Here is an 18,995-nt window from a genome sequence, read left to right on the forward strand (position 1 = left end):
CTCACTTTGGTGTCTGCAGTGGGTAAATTTGGGATAATATAATTTATTTTGGAGATCTGTACAGAGGTATGCATCTACAGATGTAAAGCCTGGCTGGTGATTTTGGAAGTTAAATCCCTTTGCTTTATGATGATGACCTTCAATGACCTTGCTCTGGGCATCACACTGGAATGTGTATCCCTGGATAACAAAAAGATCCCTGGAAAAATTATCACTCTGCTGCCTATATCCCACCCTCCCCTGCTTACTATCAAGGATTTGTGTCTGAGTAGTTGACCTCCTAGGCTAAGAGAGCTGTCTCAAAGCTTGGGGTTTCCATGGCTTCTCTTTCTCTACGCTGAGATCTGGGAACCCCCATGAAGTCTAAATGGCAGCTGATGGTTGTTGGTTACATTAAGGGAAAGCCTAAGAGAAACGTGGAATGTATAAAAGCCACTACAGCATGGAAGCCAGCGGATCCCCTCTGATTCTGGACTCAAACACTGTAGGAGCCCTCTGTCATGCCATAAAAACAGCTGTGAGCAGCAAGCCTGGGGACGCAGATTTGCATCGACAACTCACGCACTCACAGCAATCTTAGGAACGCCGGCTTTTGATATCTCGGTAAAGGCTTCTTGCTGAGAAGTTTCCAGTGCTATGCCAAGTAGATCAGAGAGGTGTTTTCTTCTCTGCCTATCTCACTGCAGCCTTGACCATGTAGCTGAGGATGGTTAGACCTCAGAAATGAGGTCTGCTCCATCAAGTCTGCCAATGCCCTGCTCTATTTATCCTCCCCCTGCTGGGCATCCTGGCTTCTTTTATTGCTGCCCATGTAGATGCACTCAGAAAGGCACACACTATTGCCTGCTGCAGAAATATTTACAGTTCCTGGAAAACCAAGTCAACAGAGCACGCAGTGGGGATGTCAAAAGAGCATCAGAGAGGACTTAGAGCTTGGGCTCTGACCTTGACTCTGGCATGACCTCACTGAATGACCTTGGGCAAGACTCATCACCTCTCAAGGGTTCAGAGAAACTGGGGTGAACTAGTATGATGGCTTCAAAACTGGGCTCTTGGTGAGCATAGTGGCATGTGACTGTAGTCCCAGCTACTTGGAGGCTGAGGCAGGAGGGTTGCTTGAGCCCGGGAGTTTGAGGCTGCAGTGAGCTATGATTGCACCACTGCATTCTAGCCTGGGTGACAAAGTGAGACCCTGTCTCAAAAAAACCAAAACACAAAAACAAAAGCAAAAACAATCCCTGGTCTCTTGGGTCTTTGGAGTCCGCTCAGGGGGCTGCTGGGAAGTGGAGATAGGGCAGAGAGAGGGGAATTCTAGCATCTTTAAACCATCCCAAGCAGAGCAGGTCTGCTTCGGTGTGTTCACTGTTTTACTTACTGGGGTTCCTGAAAAGCTTTTATTTGAGGAAAGGGTTACAAGGCTTAAACGTTTTCAAAACCACTTAAGTAGATGATCTTCCACTTACCAAGTTCTGATTATATGATTTTCCCTGTTTGTTAGTTTTAGGACATTTTGCAAAGTGTTTTGTTGATGGCTGATGTAGCAGGCTCCTGAATGAATTTTGCATCCAATAATTACTTTTCATTAATAGCATATATTAAAGACTGTAAAGAGAGAGATAATGACTTTTTGTCACTTCTTCTAGAGGATGGCTGTTGTCTTAGGAATGATATTAGTGGCCAGCTCACTAATGGTTGGAACGTATAATTAGAACTCGAGAATCTGGTGCTTGTCATGACTGTGCCACTAATCATGGCTTTGAACACATCATTCGCTCTTTTGGGAGGGAGGAAATATATGGTATGATTAAGAACTTGAGACATGAACCTAGATTGCCTGGGTTCAAATCCCAGCTCCGTCACTTTTGAGCTGTATATTTTTGGACAAGTTACTTCATTTCCATGCTTCAGTGTTTTGTTTTGTTTTGTTTTTGGTTTTGGTTTTTTTTTTTTTTTTTTTTCTGTAAAATGGAGATGATAATACTGCTTACATCATTGGGCTGTTATGAGAGTTGAGTTAACTCATGCAAAATGATTAATGGAGAGCCTAGAAGAAATTACATTCCTCATAAACATTAGCTATGGTTATCTTTCGGGTCTTTTTTTTTTTGTCATGTATAATATGAAGGGTTGGGTTGGGTACCTGATGGCTAAAGTCAACGAGTTTATTAGACTGCAGACCTCTGGGTTCAGAATTGTATTCTTAGGGTCTGGAACAGGTCCTGGCAAACAGCAGGTGCTTATTATATTCTTGTTGACTAAATGACTAACATTCTGCTTTTCTCATAAAAACCGTGTAAGAACCTATTTGCAGAACTGTTACCTCCTAAAATTAAAAACATTCAGAGTGCTAAGATGAATAAATAGCATAAAACTTTTAGTCAGGGTCCAGTCATAAAAATGGAAAAGCTCAAGCCACAAATAGTTCAATGGACACGATTGAATATGGAGAGCTAGTTATAAAGAGGCCAGGAGAGCTAGAAAGCCATGGTGAGGCTGCCCAGAGATTAGCCGCTACCACCCCTAGGTGGGTGGAGGAAAAGTGAAGAATGGTGCTCCTGGGACTGCGGAGGGAGGTGCGCTCTAGCCCTGCTGGATTTGCAGGCTGACCAGAGAGCTCTCCCACCTCCAGACTCCCACTGGTGCCTCCTATTGGCTAAATCCATCTCCTAAATCCATCCAGTAGAGCATCATGGCCTTAAAAACAAAAGGTGTCAGTTACAAGGAGTGGGTCAGGAGTATTGTTTTCACTGAGGCAAGAGAGGATGGGAATTGTAGTTTGCAGGTGTCAGCCTCCCTGCTCCACCCCAACAGTTATCCAGAGAGGTGCACGGGAGGACAAGGAATGGATCTGGGGACAATGGGCCCAGGCCCAGGACCCCAACCAGGGGGTGTGTAGTAGTCACGTTCTAGATGAGGTGGTTGGCAAACTATGGCCCTTAGGTGGCATCCAGCCTGCTGCCCATTTTTATAAATAAAGTTTTATTGGAACACAGCCACACCCACTCATTTCCATACTGTCTGTGGCTGCTTTTGTGCTACAATAGCATAGTTTAGTTGTAACAGAGACCACATATCCCCCCCAACCCTAAAACATTTAGTATCTGGCCCTTTACAGAAAAAATTTGCCAATCTCTGTTCTAGATTACGTCTAATCCTCACAACCACCTGCTAGGTAAGTATTTTTACCCTTCTTTTACAAATGAGGAATAGGCTCAGAGATGTATCTGACTTGCCTGAGGATGAGGACACTAGGCCAGAATGGAATCTGCGTTTCATCTTCATCGGATCTTTTACCAGTTTCCAACTCTTTCCATTGCACCCCTCTGCCTTCCTAATTTAAAGAATCTGGTCATTGTGACAGGTGCCCCACATGTCTTCCTGCATCATCTGAGCCATCCTCGGCCCCTGCACCTCTGCTGAAACAAAAGTATACCTTGGTTTGCTATCTCTCCGTGACATGTCTATGTCCCCTCATCTCACCGTCAAATTCACAGAATACGCAGGAATTGAAGATTGTCTCAATTGGAAGCAGCCTTGGGTCATTTCCTAGGAGTGACTTAGAAATGTTCTGCAGCTTAAAGCTGCTTGTTGAACTGTCCTTTCCAGGTAGGCAGCTGGTCCTTAAGAAACTCACTTTTTTCCTTTCTTCTTGTTTGCACAGTCATCGCAACTAAGCAATAATAGCAAAAGATTTGGGAGAACGTCTCTGACATAATGGAAATCAATGTTAAAATGAGATTGGCTTTACAAAATAAACAGTATAGTCAACTCTTTAGGAATGCTTCTCCTGTAAAGCTAAGTACACCTGGCTGATGGAAAAACAATCCCTTCAGAATGGAATATTATTGCCAACACTTCCCTGCATTGCTTGGAGATTCATCTTAGGCAACAGTATTTATGAGTCAATCTGGGTAGTCTTTGTATAACAACAATAGCAGCAGGAAAAAGCTCTTAGAATCCATGTGAATTTATGTTTACTGGAAATTCCGAGTAACTGTAAGCTAGACACTGCTTGCATTTGCTTTGTTCACACAGATGGCAAAAATTGCAGCTCTGGGAAGGACTTAGAGAGGTAAATAGAATGCTTGTGAGATTAATAAAATGAGGATTTACATGTGATGACACATAAAAAGGCAGCACCATGGCTATAGTATTATTTGACTTAGCATTTAGCCGACCCACGTATTTTTATAATGTATAATGTGCTCTCTTGCCTCAGCGAAAACAGTACACCTGACCCGCTCCTCGTAGGGTAACTGACACCATTTGTGTTTTTAAGGCTGTGATGAAGCTCTACTGGCCACCCAGTCCCTCTTCCCATGACCATTAGAGGTTTGGAATGACTTAGCCTGCACTGCAGGGAGCTGGCAGATGGCTGTGGCCACAGGAGGGACTGCGGGGGTGCCTGTACCCTCGCGGCAGGCAGCAGGCACTTGCTTCTAAGGGGCTCTGGAGCTCAGGAATCTATTTCCATTTTGGGGATCCTGGGTAAATGTCTAAACCCCTAGATACAGAAGTTCACAACTATTTCATAAGAAGCAATATGATGGTGTAGGAAAAGCTTGGGCTTCAGAGGCCAAAAGACATGAGTTCGAATCCTGCCGTTATTAGCCAGTCCTCTCATGAATCTGATCCCCTTTCCAGGCCTGAGAGGGAGGTGGGGAGGCCTATATGACAGCTGAATAATTGCCCTCAAAGATAACTAAGTCCTAATCTCTGGGATCTGGGAATGTTATCTTATATGGAAGAAGGTCCTGTGTGGATGTTGTTAAGTGAAAGGTTTTGACATGGGGAGATTATCCTGGGTGATCTGAACGGGCACTAAATAAAATCACAAGAGTCCTTCTAAGAAGGAAGCAGAGGGATATTTGACACAGAAGAGGAAGAAGACACTGTGACCACAATGGAAGCAGGAGGAGACGTGAAGATGCCACACAATTGCTTTTGAAGATGGAGGAAAGGACCATGGAGCCCAGGAGCACAAGGAATGCAGCAGCCTCCAAGTGAGAAAAGGCAGAGAAACAGATTCTCTGCCCACCAGACTCTGGAGAGACTGTGGCGCTACTGATGTCATGATTTTAGGCCAGTGAATTTGACTTCTGACTTCTGGCCTCCAGAACTGTAAGTGAATAACTGTGAGCTGCTTTAAGCCACCAAGTTCATGGTAATAATTTGTTATAGCAGCCACGGGAAACTGATGCAGTCTCCCCTCATGACTGTGTGCATCAGAATCATGCCTAAGAAAAGATGCCAAATCAATCCCCCAGATCATGCCCCACACAAGGGGGCAGGACCTGAGGTCAGTCATCTGAGGTGATTTTGAGGGCAGCATGTTATAACAGAATAAACTCACTGGAGCTCCCAAGTTTATGCTAGAATGTAAGAAGCTGCTCCCAGCATGGGCACTTAGTGTCTGGCATGGATCAGCCTACCTTCCCCTGTGTTCCATCTCCCTGCTGTCTTCCTTGGACCTTCCTGGTCTTCCACCCGACCCTCTTGTCTGTTCAGCCCACTTGGTCTGCAGCCATCTCTTTCCTGCCAACCTGCACCTCAGGTTCCAGGATGGTGGGGAGGGCACACCCAAGTCCCTGGTCAGGAACTGACCCTCTTCCATTCTGTCCTGTCTTTGGCTTGGGAGTAAGGGTCAGAGCTGGTGGGTGGGAAATGGCTGGATGGTTTTCAGGGAGGAGGCCAGTCAGAAGAACCTGAGGACTCAGGGGGAGGAAAAAGAAGATGGGTTGGAGGCAAAGGCTATGTGCCCAACCCATGTGGCCTCAACCTCAGGATAGTACTTTTGAGCTCAGGAGAGCTACTGCTCCTCTCCTCCTCACCTGAAGGGATCGAAAGGAGTTCCCATAGCACTTAAGGAGGCTCGGCTAGGACAATGGCTTCACTGCCTAAGGAGCAAGGGTGGCAGTAGGAAGTCCCTGTGGGGCTTCTGATTCTCATGTGGGAGGTCTAGACATAGGGCTGAGGTTAAGAATGACCCACAGAGAGGCTGGGCACGGTGGCCCATGCCTGTAATCCCAGCACTTTGGAAGGCTGAGGCAGGTGGATCAACTGAAGTCAAGAGTTCAAGACCAGCCTGGCCAACATGGCAAAAACCTGTCTCTACTAGAAATATAAAAATTAGCCTGGATGTGGTGGCAGGCACTTGTAATCCCAGCTACTCGAGAGGCTGAGGCAGGAGACTCTCTTGAACCTGGGAGGCGGAGGTTGTAGTGGGTTGAAATCATGCCATTGCAATCCATCCTGGGTGATGAGTGAAACTCTGTCTCCAAACACAAACAAAAATAATCACCCAAAGAGTTCTTTCTTTCGGTGCTGAAAAAAGGTCACACACACACACCCCTCAGGGCTGCTTAGTGTAGAAACATTAGTATCCCTGGGAACAGAGCCCTAGAGAACCATCAGAGTGGTTAAAAACAACAGTCCCCACTAATGCAGCAATAACCACAACAAAAGGTTTATTTCTCTACCTTCCAAGAAGTGCAAGGTTAAAGACCTTTACAAGAAACTTCAAAGCTTTACTGATGTGCTCAAGGCCTCTGGCCATCTGTTTGCTCAGGAGATAGGAACTTCTACCTGGAGAGAGCACAGCCTCAGGTTAGAAGGAATCAGGCAGACAAGTCTGGCCCAGAACTGAGGGCCCCACCTCAGGGCAGCATGATGTTTGCAGCTCAATTGTCTCCTGGCCCAGCCTGCAAGGAGGAGCTGGAGGAAGGGTGCATTAGGATGAACTGCAGAGCCTCTTTCCTGTCCCTCAACTGCCCTTCTCCTACAGAATCAAAGGTCGTGTCATGTCACTTCTCCAAGATGTCCATGGAAATCTGTTATGTTAATAGTGGGCCTAGTGGTTCTTCTACATTAGACCTGGCACAGTGCCAAATGATCCTCAGCCCAAGGATGAAAGGATGGTTTACTATGAATAGTCACAGCCCTGCTGTCAGGAGAAAGTCCTCCCTCATATCGGGCTAAGCAGTGCTGAATCTAGGAATGACTATACTCTCCTTGGTGAGCTAAACCAGTGGAGAAGTCACCTACAGCCTATACTGGTGGAGAGATTGGGCTGAAATTCAACACCAATACTTTTGTCTTCACCCTGTGGCCAGGCCTCACAGATGTCCTCTCCAGGTTCAGCAGTGACTGAGCAGAGAAAGGCTTCAGCATTCAGTTTGCAAGATGATAGCAAGGAGGAATAAGGAGAGGCAGAGAGTCCCAAGGGAGGGAACCCCAGATCCATGGGGACTTGGAAGAGAGGATCACATGGAAGGGTGGTAGGGTTGGCTAGAAGGTGGGAGAGAGGGAACTCCAGCATTGGGCTCTCACCTTTGGGAGATGTGATGCTAAAAGGCCTTTCCCTGAAAATTCCAAAATAATAGCAAGTTCAATAAAGCTCCAATGTTTGTTCTTCCCGTTCTGAGATCTCTTAGACTTTTTAGTAAAGAATTCCACATATTGCACATGACTGGTGAAGATAAGATGGGTAAGGTGGAAGGTATGGACAGTGATGACAGCCCCACTTTTCTTTAGAGGGCTTTGGCTGGACAGGAGTGGAGAAGGGAATATTCATAGGCCAGTAGGAACAGAGAGGGACTGAATTCCCTGCATTTTGCCCTGGCCTGATAAGGCACAAACTTTAAGTCTGCAAAGGTGGGTCCTTGGCATGCTCCCGCTACCATTGCTTCATGGAAAATGCCACAGAACACTGGGCACAGCCCCTTGCTTTGGCAGGAGACCATGCCGTGGAGTAGTTAGGAGCACTGACTGAATTAAGTTGCCCTGGGTGTGTGGCCAGCAGCAGACAGAGAGACTAGACAATTAACCTGATTTTCCATGGATCAGTTTTCTATTTTATAAAGTGATGTTAATTGTGCTACTTCCGTCATGGGGCTCCTCAGAGGATTGAGTGACAGAATACATGTAAGGTGCTTGGCCCAGAACTGGGCTGTATTAGTTTCCCGTGGTTGCTGTAACAATTACCACAAACTTTATGGTTCAACACAACATACATTTGGTATCTTACGGTTTTGGAGGTTGGAAATCTGAAATTCCAAGCCAGCAGTATATCATCTTAAGGTCTCTCTATGATTCAGATTCTCCTGCCTCCAGATAGCACTTATAAAATTCTTCTGATTACATCAGGCCCACCCAGATAATCCAAGATAATCTCCCCATCTGAAACTCACATCAGCAGTGTCCTTTTCTTCCCAGGTAAGATAACATATTCTCAGGTTCTTGGGATTAGGATGTGGTTACCTTTGGGAGGGAGCCAGTATTGTACGATCAGCACATTGGCTTACATTAAAAACTCACTATATATTGGCCACTATTATTTTTCTTGTACCTCCAGCCAAATGGAAAATCATATATAGGAAAAGGAATGCTTTCTCCTTTGGTCTGGACACCACCGTGCTTTGTTACCTTGAGTCTAACAATACACCACAGAGGTGGTAGAAACGGCAGTAGCACAATGTGAGGGCTGGTCTCCAGCAGAGGTGTTCATGGTACCTCACCAGATAGTGCTTCTTCGTAGGTGGAGAGAGAAGTAGTCTCTGATAGAAACAGTGATATCTAGTGAGTGTTCCAGAGACATCAATACTCAACAGAAGGACTGATGCTTAGAGAACCTGCCAGGTGCTGGTTGGGCTTGGTGGGAAACAGCATGATGGTGGACCCCAGAAGCAATGATCAAGTGTGGTGCCCATGTCTTCCCATAGCTTTGTAAAAATTTTTTTTTTCCACAGTGATTAGACAAAAAGAGAAAGAAAATGGCAGTTGCTGTAAGGTGAATGCCAGGACTTGTTGTTAAGCACATGTTTGACCCCACTGGGCATAGCAAAAATAATATGGAAGCCTTTATAGGGGGCTGGAACTCCTATAATAACACGTAGGGGCAAGATCAGGTTAAATGTAGGTTCTGTCTGTCAACATGTGCTCATTTTAAACCATCCACTGGTGTGGTCTGGGAAACCCAGGTTGCATAAGTCAAGTTTGCAGCTCAGTGCTGAGCACTCTGGAGGGGCTCTGGAAATGCCTGACCTCATTCCTCCCCTTCTCTCCTTTTCCTTGACTATGACCTCATTGACTTGCTCTAGATGCTCTAATCTTTCCCAGCAGCCTTATTGCTTATACCTCTCAGCTTATGCTGGCATCGTTCCTCTTCCCAGAGAGCTGCCTAAGCACTCTTCTCTTCTCGCTGCCCCACTTTGAGGCTGAGGGTGAGGTCACAGGGTGGCTGTGCATCAGCATTTGCATTGCTAAAGCAGCACTGTCAGAGCCTGAGCTTGCATTCTCTCCGTGCATCCATGCTCACTGACCTGTCAATACTCTCATCCGGGAAGCAGCATATTCCTCTCCTTGAACTTGGCCCAGACATTGCACATATGAACTCTTAGGGGCCAATTTACAGCCCCTTCGTTGAGGCAGCTCTGCAGTTGATTTCCCAAGTTTCTTATTTTAGTTATCCATCCCTACTTCACCTCCCCATCCCCTCTATTCAACCTAGTACTTACCTTTTGGGTATGTCACTCCTCATTAGCACCTCTTCCAGAAAAGATGCTCATGACGGAGAATTGTCTTAGTCTGGTTTCCTCTAAAAGCAGAGCCTGAGACAGGTAGTTTATTTGGGAGTGATTCCTGGAAGCCAGAATGTGTTAGAAGTGAGATGGAGAGCGAGGGAAAAAGCCAATAAAGAGTATGCAATTGAGCTGATTACCACTGCAGGCAACCGAGGCTCAGTTCCCTGGGATCCCTGAGGAGCTGTGTAGAATAAACCTTAGAATTGTCTTTCTGAATGTCAGAAGCCTGGGACATTTATCCACAAACTCCTGCGACCAATTGGCAGAGTATTAACACCGCTTTACTTCTGGGATGAGCCTGGGCATGTCTCAGTGGTCCTCCAAGGCTTAGGAGAGAGGCTTGGGGCAGACCAACAGGGAGCCTTGACTCTTGAGATGGGAAGCTAGATGTGTGCTTAGAACTGTCCATCTCAGGTGTGCTAAAACTAAGTGGGCTTAAAAAGTGTCCCTCGGGGTGAAATTTACATGAGGCAGAAGTAACTTTAGAGAAGGCTTAAGAATGTAATCGTTCAAAATTGATTACCTAAACTGGTCATTCCTAAATTATCTATAGATTTTATATGCCTAGGCTGTTCCCGTTGCTCTTGCTATGTTCACGAGAGGAGTTGATCTGTTTGCCACTATGATTCCTTTAGGATATATGATTGACACTCTGTTGGTGACTTATACTCCCTCTGCCTAGATGCCTTAGCATTATCATTCATTCTCTAATTTAGCCAATTAGTAAACATAGTCAACCCCAAAGAGAGACTGGTTAATATATGGAGGTGCATATTCATGTATTTATAATTCCTTCCTTTACATTCCTCCCATTCAAATAGGGATGTTATGTGGACTTCATTGCCTCAGAGAAAATTCCTTTTAGGGCTGAAGGCAGAGAAAGTCAGCATTGATTTCTGGCCTAAGCTCTTGGGAGTTTAGAGGGTTTGTCAAGGAGCCAAAAGAGGCAAAGGGACTTGAAGATTTGGACGGCATGTCTCGGAGAAGTAGCCCCACTCCTAGAGGAGATGACATTTGGCTTGGAGGAGAAAGAGGTGAGCAAGAGCTGTAGTCCTGGAGTAGAAGGGATCCAGGCCCTGCTCTCTTTAAGGGCTCCCCAGGATGAGAAAAAAATCTTCAGGGTGGAATGGTTGGGTGATACATCTAATTCCTACCTCCAAGCCTGCTGCAGAAGTACTAGAGAGGCTGCATAGATAGAGACAGTGAAAGTCTTAGCAGTAATATGAGCAGACAGGTGACTGAGCCCCGTATGCATAGCACTTTGATGCAGTGTGAGATCTTGGACTTTTGAAATGACCCCCAGGAAGGGGGAAGACAAACTAAGGAAGGGAGAGGGTAAATTTCCTGCCAGCCTGGTGAAGTGGGGGCTTAAAGTTGGTAATTATATTGACTTATTCAAAATACACAGTTAGGGGGCTTAGATGCATACCCACCACATAAACATTTATTGCATGTTTACTTTGTGGCAGGCATTGTGCTTGACATTAAAAATGTAAATATGACAAAGACATAGCCCCTTGCTTCAGTGGGGCTCACATCCAGTCAAGGAGGCATATATCTAAGGTGATGATCATTGAAATATACGTGTAATGATAGATATCTATACATACTATGGAGCCTAAGGAGAGGGTTTGGGGAGAGTTAAGAGAAGGATTCTTGGAAGAGACGATGTTTGAACTGAGCCTTAAAGGGTGGAAGACTTTATCTAGAGAGAAGAGGAAGGGGATGGGAGGCTGTATAGGCAGTGAGAACAGTGTGAAGGGAGAGGTACAGGGGTGGTATTAGTTTTATATTGCTGCATAACAAATTACCACAGATCCAGCAGCTTAAAAGAGCATACATATTTATTAGTTTACAGCTTCTGTGGAGCAGGAGTCCAGGAATAGCTTAAGTAACTTCTCTGGTGCAGTGTCTCACTTGACTCTAAACGTCCAGTAATTCACATTTAGGTTTCAGTGGTGAGACTGTAGTCAAGAAAACAACAATGCCACTACAATACATAATCTCTAGGCCTCCTTTTGATAAATATGGTCATCAATTTACTCCTCCCACCTCCCACCACAAACTGTAGTTCAATGGTACTTTTTGTTTTGGAAGGAGGTAGATTTTCATTGCAATGCATGACTCTGACCTTGGAAACCGCATTTTCATTAATTTTGCCTTTCATGAGTTTTTAAATGTTTCCATCTGAACAATAATCATATGAACATGAGGTTGACACTTTCCCAAGAAATTGCCGATACTGACAATAATTCAGAAATGCACATTTTGACAAGGCTAGATTTGATGATTTGCACATCTTCAGAAACTGTTAGAATTTTCGAGTGAGACCTTGAAACCAAGAAGACTCAGCCTTCTGGATTTACCTGAAGCTTATTTATCACCTGTCCTGAATACTGATTCCAAGGGGACTCAGCGTCCTCATAGAGTGTTATCTTCTCAGCATCTTCCAATTAATCTGTCCCAGAGCAGGTTCTGGAATCCAGGACTCCCAGTAAGATTCAATGTGGTGTTGCAATCTTGGACCTGATTATCCTAATATTGAATTTATAGTGTTTAAGAGGAGAGTGTTGGGGTCACTACTCTTCTAGAGTGGTTTACTTTGGAATCACTCTGAAGCCTCTGTGCATTCTTCAGCCCTAAAAGTTGCTTTGAAAGTTGCTTTCTGAAAGGACCTTAAATCATCTTCCTTAGTTCTTCTATTTTAACTGCTCTAATCAGTGTTCTATTGAAATTTTGCTAGAAAATGAAAACAATTGTTGCCATCAATTTGCACAGAATATTCTCTTATGATAAATTTGATCTCTGTATCTGTGGTTATGTCTTATTTCTAACCTTAAATATATTTTCTCTTTTTCCTTCTAAGAGCTTACCTTTTTATTGGTCTTTTCAAAGAATAAAGTTTTGGTTTTATTTATCCTCCTTTTTTTTTAGATCCAGTTAATTTTATTTCTCCTTTTCTAATTTATTAACATGAATCTTAAGTATATTCAGTTTTAGCCTTTGAAAGTTTTTAAGGCTATAATTTTTTTCTAAGTATGCTTTTGCTGTGTCCCATAGATTTTGTTATAATTATTCTAATTTCAATGACTTGCTAGAGAACTTGAAGTTTCAGTTTTAATTAATCTTTGATTCAAAGGTAGACATGTATGTTTATTAATTTATAAGTAGTTAAAATTATCATTAAGCTTATGATTGAATATATGATCACTACAATTCCTACTTTTAAAAATTTATGGCCTGGTGCAGTGGCTAATGCGTGTAATCCCAGCACTTTGAGGGGCTGAGCGGGGTGGATTACCTGAGGTCAGGAGTTCAAGGCCAGCCTGGCCTACATGGTGAAACCCCATCTCTACTAAAAATACAGAATTAGCTGGGTGTGGTGGCACACACCTGAAGTCCCAGCTACTCTGGAGGCTGAGATAGGAGTATCGCTTCAACCCAGGAGGTGGAGGCTGCAGTAAGCCCAGACTGCGCCACTGCACCCCAGCCTGGGCAAGACAGAGCGAGACTCCATCTCAAAAAGAAAAAAAAAAATTAGAAGGTTTTCTTTGTGGCCAAATATGTGATTGATTTTGGACATACAAATAAACATATTTTTCTATTCTGGTATGTAGGTTCTTATATATGTACTAATTACTCTACATCCTTACTTATTTTTTGACTTCAGGTTAAGTCCTGCAAGAAGTATATTAAAGTATCCCACTGTTTGCATTTCTGATAATTTTTATTTATTTATCTAGCATATATATTGTGTGTGTTCTGAAAAACTTCATGCAAACAAATAATATAAGAGCGGCCAGGAATTTGTTGTAATCTTAAATATCTGGCAGAATCGGGTGTAAATCTTCTCTGGGCTATCATATTTTCAACTCAGGCCTCAAAGGTTTCACATATCTAAGTCCAAGGAACTTGAGCTCACAGTCAGACATCATAAAACACACAAGGAAAGAAGGCATCATGAATAAAAGCAGGAACCAATATTATTAGACACAACAGATAAAGTAAGTGTATTTAATATTTACTCATAAATTCTTACATGTTTCAGCTCTGTGTTAGGTATTATTCTAGGTACTGGAGATACAACAATGAAAAACAACAGAAAATATCCCTGTCTTTAAACATTTATATTCGAGTTAAAAAAATAACTGTATAGACTTAGAAGGGAAAGGGGCTACAGAGAAAAATAAAGCAGGAAGTGGGTGTATGAAATGCACATGAGCAATTTATATTTGAACAAAAACTTGAAGGAAGTGAGAAATGAGGCATGTGCATCTAGGGGGTTAGATGGAAACATTCTACAGAGGAATCAGCAAGGGTAAAAGCTTGAAGGTAGAAGTATGCCTGACATAGAAGGTCAGGGTGGCTGAGGTGGTGTTACTAAGTGGGAGAGGTAGAATTTAAGGGCAGAGTGGCAATTAAAAGAAAAAAAAAGGATTGAAATATGATTATGGGAAAATATACTATTAAAATAACTAAGCAGTTATAAGAATAAGTCAAAACTTGTAAGACTAGAAAAATATCACAGTTGATATTTGAGAAATATTGGATGGATTAAATATCAGATCAGACATAACTGAAGAGAGAATAAGTGAACTGAGAAATAGGGCTGAAGAAATTCTATACAACACAGCAAGGAAAGACAAGTAGATAGGAAATGTAAAACAGAGATTTAACATATTTAGCGGAATTACAGAAGGAAAAAATAGAATGAAGGAAAAGCAATGTTGAAAGTCAAAAATGGTTTAGTATCTCAAGAATGGAAAAACACCAACTGTCAGTTTCAGGAAGCTCAGTAAGTCCCAAATAGGATAAATACAGAAAAAGCCACACCTAGAAACAACATAGGGAAATTGCCCAACATTGCATACAAATAAAAAAAATTCAGTGAAGCTGGTGAGAAAAGACAAATACCTACAAAGAATGACAATTAGATTTATAGCTGACCTCTTAATAGTACTAATGGAAACCAAAAGACTATAAACTAATACTTAAAAGTTCTGAAACTATATCTAGTGAATATATATAGTGAATTTACTATATTTTATAGGTAATGAACTGTCTTCCAAAGTTAAGACATTTTCAGACAAATAAAAATTTTGTTTACCACCCACAGATGACCGTAAAGAAAATTTGGGAATGTGTATTTCAGGGAAAATGAAAATGATCCCAATAAAGATCGGAGATGCAGGAAGGAAGGAAAACATAGAAATTGGTAAATATGAAATTCAATATAAACACACATTGATTAGATAAAACACTGATGATGATAGATGTCTAATTTGTGGATTAAAAAATAGAACAAAAACATCGATTAAGAGTGGCATATAAATCATTGTAGAGGTGATGAAATTCAAATTGTTCTGTAGTTCTCAGACTCTTTCTGACAAAGGTAAACATGGTGAGCAATTTTAGATTTCTTCGATAAGTTTTCATGTTTAAATTTCTAGAGAAACCACTTCTTCTTCCCCCAGAAAAAGAAAGAAAAAAAAATAGTGTGTAATTTCTATTTACTTGAGGAAAAAATTGGAATGAGAAAAAAATGGAGTCTGTATAAGAACAGGTCAAGAAAGGAAGGAAAGAGAGAAAATAGAAAAATTAGAACAAATATAGAGCACAAAACAAGCAATCCAAATACCAGTAATCCCAATCAATGGAAATGAAAAATCAATCCTGATAAAATGGAAAGGTTATCAAACTGGATTAAAAATATTTATGCTGTATATTAATAAAAATGAGAACAAAGAAATGTTGGAAACAAAAGAATGAAAAAGACATGTACTAGGCAAATAGCAACAAAAAAGCTGACATATTTATATTAATAAACTAGACCTAAAACAATATTTAGCAGAGAGGAAATGAGTCACTACATAAACAAAATATTCAATTTACCAGGGAAGACATAAGATTCTAAACTTGTATACTTTAATAAAATAGCCACAACATATTTAAACTAAAAGTTGATAAAAGTATGAGGAGTTAAAGACAAGTCCACTGTCATGGTGAAAAGGTAATACATAACCAATTTTAGAAATGAACAGATCAAACAGTAAAGTCAATAAACATATAGAATATTTGAATACTATAATTAAATTTTATAAAATGAATATGTTTATAATTAACTCTAAAATCCACATTCTTTTATGCACATGTGGATAATTTATGAAAAATGGTCACTTTTTAGGCTACCAAGCAAGTCTTAACAAATTTCAAAGGATCTTGACAACATATAGAGCATGTTATCTGACTACAAAATAAGTGTTTTTATTCTCTGTTTCTACTAAAAAACAAGTAGACAAAATCGTGTGTGGAACTTTAAAAGCCATATTTACTAAATAACCCATGAGTTAAAATGGAATCACAATACAAATAAAAATATCTATGTAACTAAACCTTAATGAAAATATCAGAACTTGTGAGATGCAGCTAAACTAGGATTTGGAAGTTAATTTAAATGCGTATATTTGCACTTAAGAAAAAAAGGCTGAAAACTAATGATGTCAGCATCCCATTTAAGAAACAAAGAAAAGAGTAATAGAATAAACTCAACAGCAGTAGATATATAAATTGAAAACAAAGAGAATCAACAAGGCCAAATGAGGGCTCTTTGTAAATATTAATTAGATTGACAAAACTGTGGTAAGAGGAATAAGAAAGAAATATATATGCCAAATAAAATATGTAGATAACTACAGAAGGGTCAGAGATTTAAAAGATAATGAAAAAATATTGTGAACCAACTTTATGACAAAAGGAGTTAAAAGTTAGATGAAGTGCAAAAATTGCTAAAAATATACTGACTCAAGAAGAAATGGAAAACTAGTATAATCTTAGAAGCATTAATCAGTAGTTCAAAAATCTTCCCCTTAAAGAAAGCAGGATGACTAGATAATTTTACAGGTAAATTCTTGCTAACACTCAAGGAACAGATAATTTCAACATTACATAAACACTTCCAAATATGTACCATATTAATGTAAGATGTTAATAATAGGGGAAACTGGGTGTAGGGTATATGTGAACTGTACTATCTTTGCAATGTTTTTATAAACCTAAAACTACTCTAAATATAAAATGTATTTAATAAAAAAAACAGGAAAATGGGAACACTTCTTACTCCTTTAAAGAGGCTAGAATAACTTTCATGCCAAATCAGAAAAGGAAATAAAATGAAAGACAAATTACAGGCCAATTTTACTTTTGAATAAAAAGAAATTCTTTGGAAAATATTAATAAATTGAATTTAACACACTTAAGAAATAGCATATCTCATTATCTAATTTGGTCTATGATAGGTATGAAAGTTTGGTGTAACATTAGAAAATGGATTAGTGTAATTCACTACAATAATGGAAGAAAGGGCAAAACAATATGATTATTTCTATGGATGTAGAAAAGAAACTACTTGATAAAATTTAACATCCATTCATGATTTAAAAATAAAAACTCTTTAGCAAATAAGAAATAGACTTTAAGTTTCTCTATCTGGTAAAAACTACAAAAAAGTTTTCAGCAAATATTATTCTTTATGGTAAAGAAAGGGAAGAAGAAAGTATGTATGCAGTTATTACTTTTTTCTATACTGTCCATGATGACCTAGCCATTGCAGTAATGCAATTTAAAGACATTACATGTGTAACGATTAGAAAGGAAGGGCAAAATTTTAGGATTGTCTTCATAGTAAACTCAAAGAAAGATACAGATAGATCAATTATTAGAATTAAGAAGATATATTAGTAAGGTTGCTAGATACGAAATCAACATAAAATCATTGCTATTCTATATGTCAGCAACAAACAGAAAAATAAACCAATTTTAAAACAGCATTGAGAAATATCAAGTAACTAAGAATAAAGCTATCATAATATATGCAATAATTAGGGAGAAAATGGAAGCTTTATTGAAAAAAAAAACCCCTAAATTAATGAAGAGATATATTGTCATGAGTCAGAGCACTTAACATTGTAAAATATCTCTCCAAATTGATCTATAGATTCAACCTGATTCCTGTGAAGTACGAAGGGTTTTCTTTTGTTGTTGTTGCTGTTGCTGTTGCTGCTGTTTTCTTCCCCCAACCCCCGTGGAACTTGACAGCCTACAGCTAGTTCTAAAGTGAATGTGGAAGTTCACAGGGCCAAGAATAGCAAGAGCATTCTTAAAAAGAAAGGGGGGGGGGACTAGTTCTATAAAAGATAGGCATTTGCTATAAAGCTATAGAAATGAAGACAATGTGATATTGGCACAGAGATAAACAATGCGATGTTGAAACAGGAAGAGAACCCTGGAATAGAGAAACACACATATGAACACTAGACATGTGATACAGGTAGTATTGCAGTTCAGTGGGTAAAGGGTGGATTTTTTGTTACTTGGTACTGGGATATTTGGTTATCCATATGGTTAAAAATGAAGCTGGAGTCCTTATACAAAATAATGAACCAATTCCAGGTGGTCTAAATGTAAAAATGAAAAACAACATTATAAACATTTGTAAGACAAAATAGGAGACTATGTCTATTCTCCCACAGAGATATTCCCAGAAATTGAGAATGATTTCCTGAAACATAAATGAAAAGATTGATAAATTCCACAACATTAAAATTTAGAATTTCTATTTATTGAGAGAGAAAGAGAGAAATTGAGAGAGTTAAAGACCAGCCACAGCAGGGAAGATGGCTGCTGCACAAATAATCAACATGGCATGCTTACCCAGAACACATAAAGAAATTCCATGATTAAGTAAGAAAAAGACAACCAAATAAAAGAAATTTCACAGAAAAGGAAACATAAGTGGCCTATACACATGTGAAAGTTATTACAAAAATTTCAACTCGGAGCAGTTGAGGAGCAGTGGACACTTTCATCCTCTGCTGCTTTGTGTGTAAATTGCTTCCACCACTTTGAAAAACAGGCATCGTATAGTAAATTACAAAAAGTGCACAGTCAAAGATTCAGCAATGTCACTTCTAAGACATATACTCTGGAAAAAACTTTTACAAATGTTTACCAACAGAGGTGTATAAAAAACATAGCAGTGATAGTACAACACTGGAATTAATTGCAGCATATGCATGCATTGGAATATTATACTGCAGTAAAAATGAATTAAATACAACTGCATGTAACATAAATGTAATGCTTAGCACAAAAGGCAAGCAGCAGGAGAATGAACATAGTATAATTCCATTTGGGTAAATTTCAAAACATGCAAAATGAAACAATATATTTTTGGGGGAATCTATCAAATGAGGTAACATTTTCACAAAGAGACAGAATGATGATGGCTTTTACTAAAGGGTATGACAGGGGATGGGGCATAAGGGCGCCTCAATCTGCTGGGTAGAGAACACCTGAGTGTTTTGTCTTTTTGTCTCCTCTACCTAGGCATATAAGTGTTCATCTGGAAGTGTTTAA

The 18,995-nt window shown here is 40.4% G+C and overlaps 1 long non-coding RNA gene across 11 annotated transcripts in view, besides 2 other annotated features; it reads left to right on the forward strand.

Moving 5' to 3' along the window:
• LOC102724036 (uncharacterized) overlaps nt 1–18,995 on the forward strand; it is a 247,231-nt gene that overhangs the window by 154,273 nt on the left and 73,963 nt on the right. For 7 of the 11 annotated variants that reach the window (XR_007061623.1, XR_007061626.1, XR_930035.2 and 4 more), the window contains 3 exons: nt 10,403–10,615; nt 13,459–13,585; nt 14,698–14,796. The exons of 2 other annotated variants lie outside the window; for them this stretch is intronic. This is a non-coding gene — a long non-coding RNA (uncharacterized LOC102724036). The remainder of the gene's footprint in view (nt 1–10,402; nt 10,616–13,458; nt 13,586–14,697; nt 14,797–18,995) is intronic. 2 more of the 11 variants (XR_007061624.1, XR_007061625.1) reach the window with 2 other exon arrangements.
• Nucleotides 6,088–6,844: an enhancer, noted in NCBI's record as "NANOG hESC enhancer chr9:87185076-87185832 (GRCh37/hg19 assembly coordinates)". NCBI's record gives its function as "activates a minimal SCP1, AML or CMV promoter by ChIP-STARR-seq in naive H9 embryonic stem cells {active_cell/tissue: H9 hESC(naive)}" and the evidence as "EXISTENCE:reporter gene assay evidence [ECO:0000049][PMID:30033119]".
• Nucleotides 11,099–11,268: an enhancer, noted in NCBI's record as "experimental_108369 CRE fragment used in MPRA reporter constructs". NCBI's record gives its function as "activates a minimal promoter by MPRAs in K562 erythroleukemia cells, with activity observed for both the introgressed and non-introgressed 9:87190172 variant alleles {active_cell/tissue: K562}" and the evidence as "EXISTENCE:reporter gene assay evidence [ECO:0000049][PMID:34662402]".

Source organism: Homo sapiens, chromosome 9, assembly GCF_000001405.40.
Source record: "Homo sapiens chromosome 9, GRCh38.p14 Primary Assembly".
In the NCBI taxonomy this organism is placed as follows: Eukaryota; Metazoa; Chordata; class Mammalia; order Primates; family Hominidae; genus Homo; species Homo sapiens.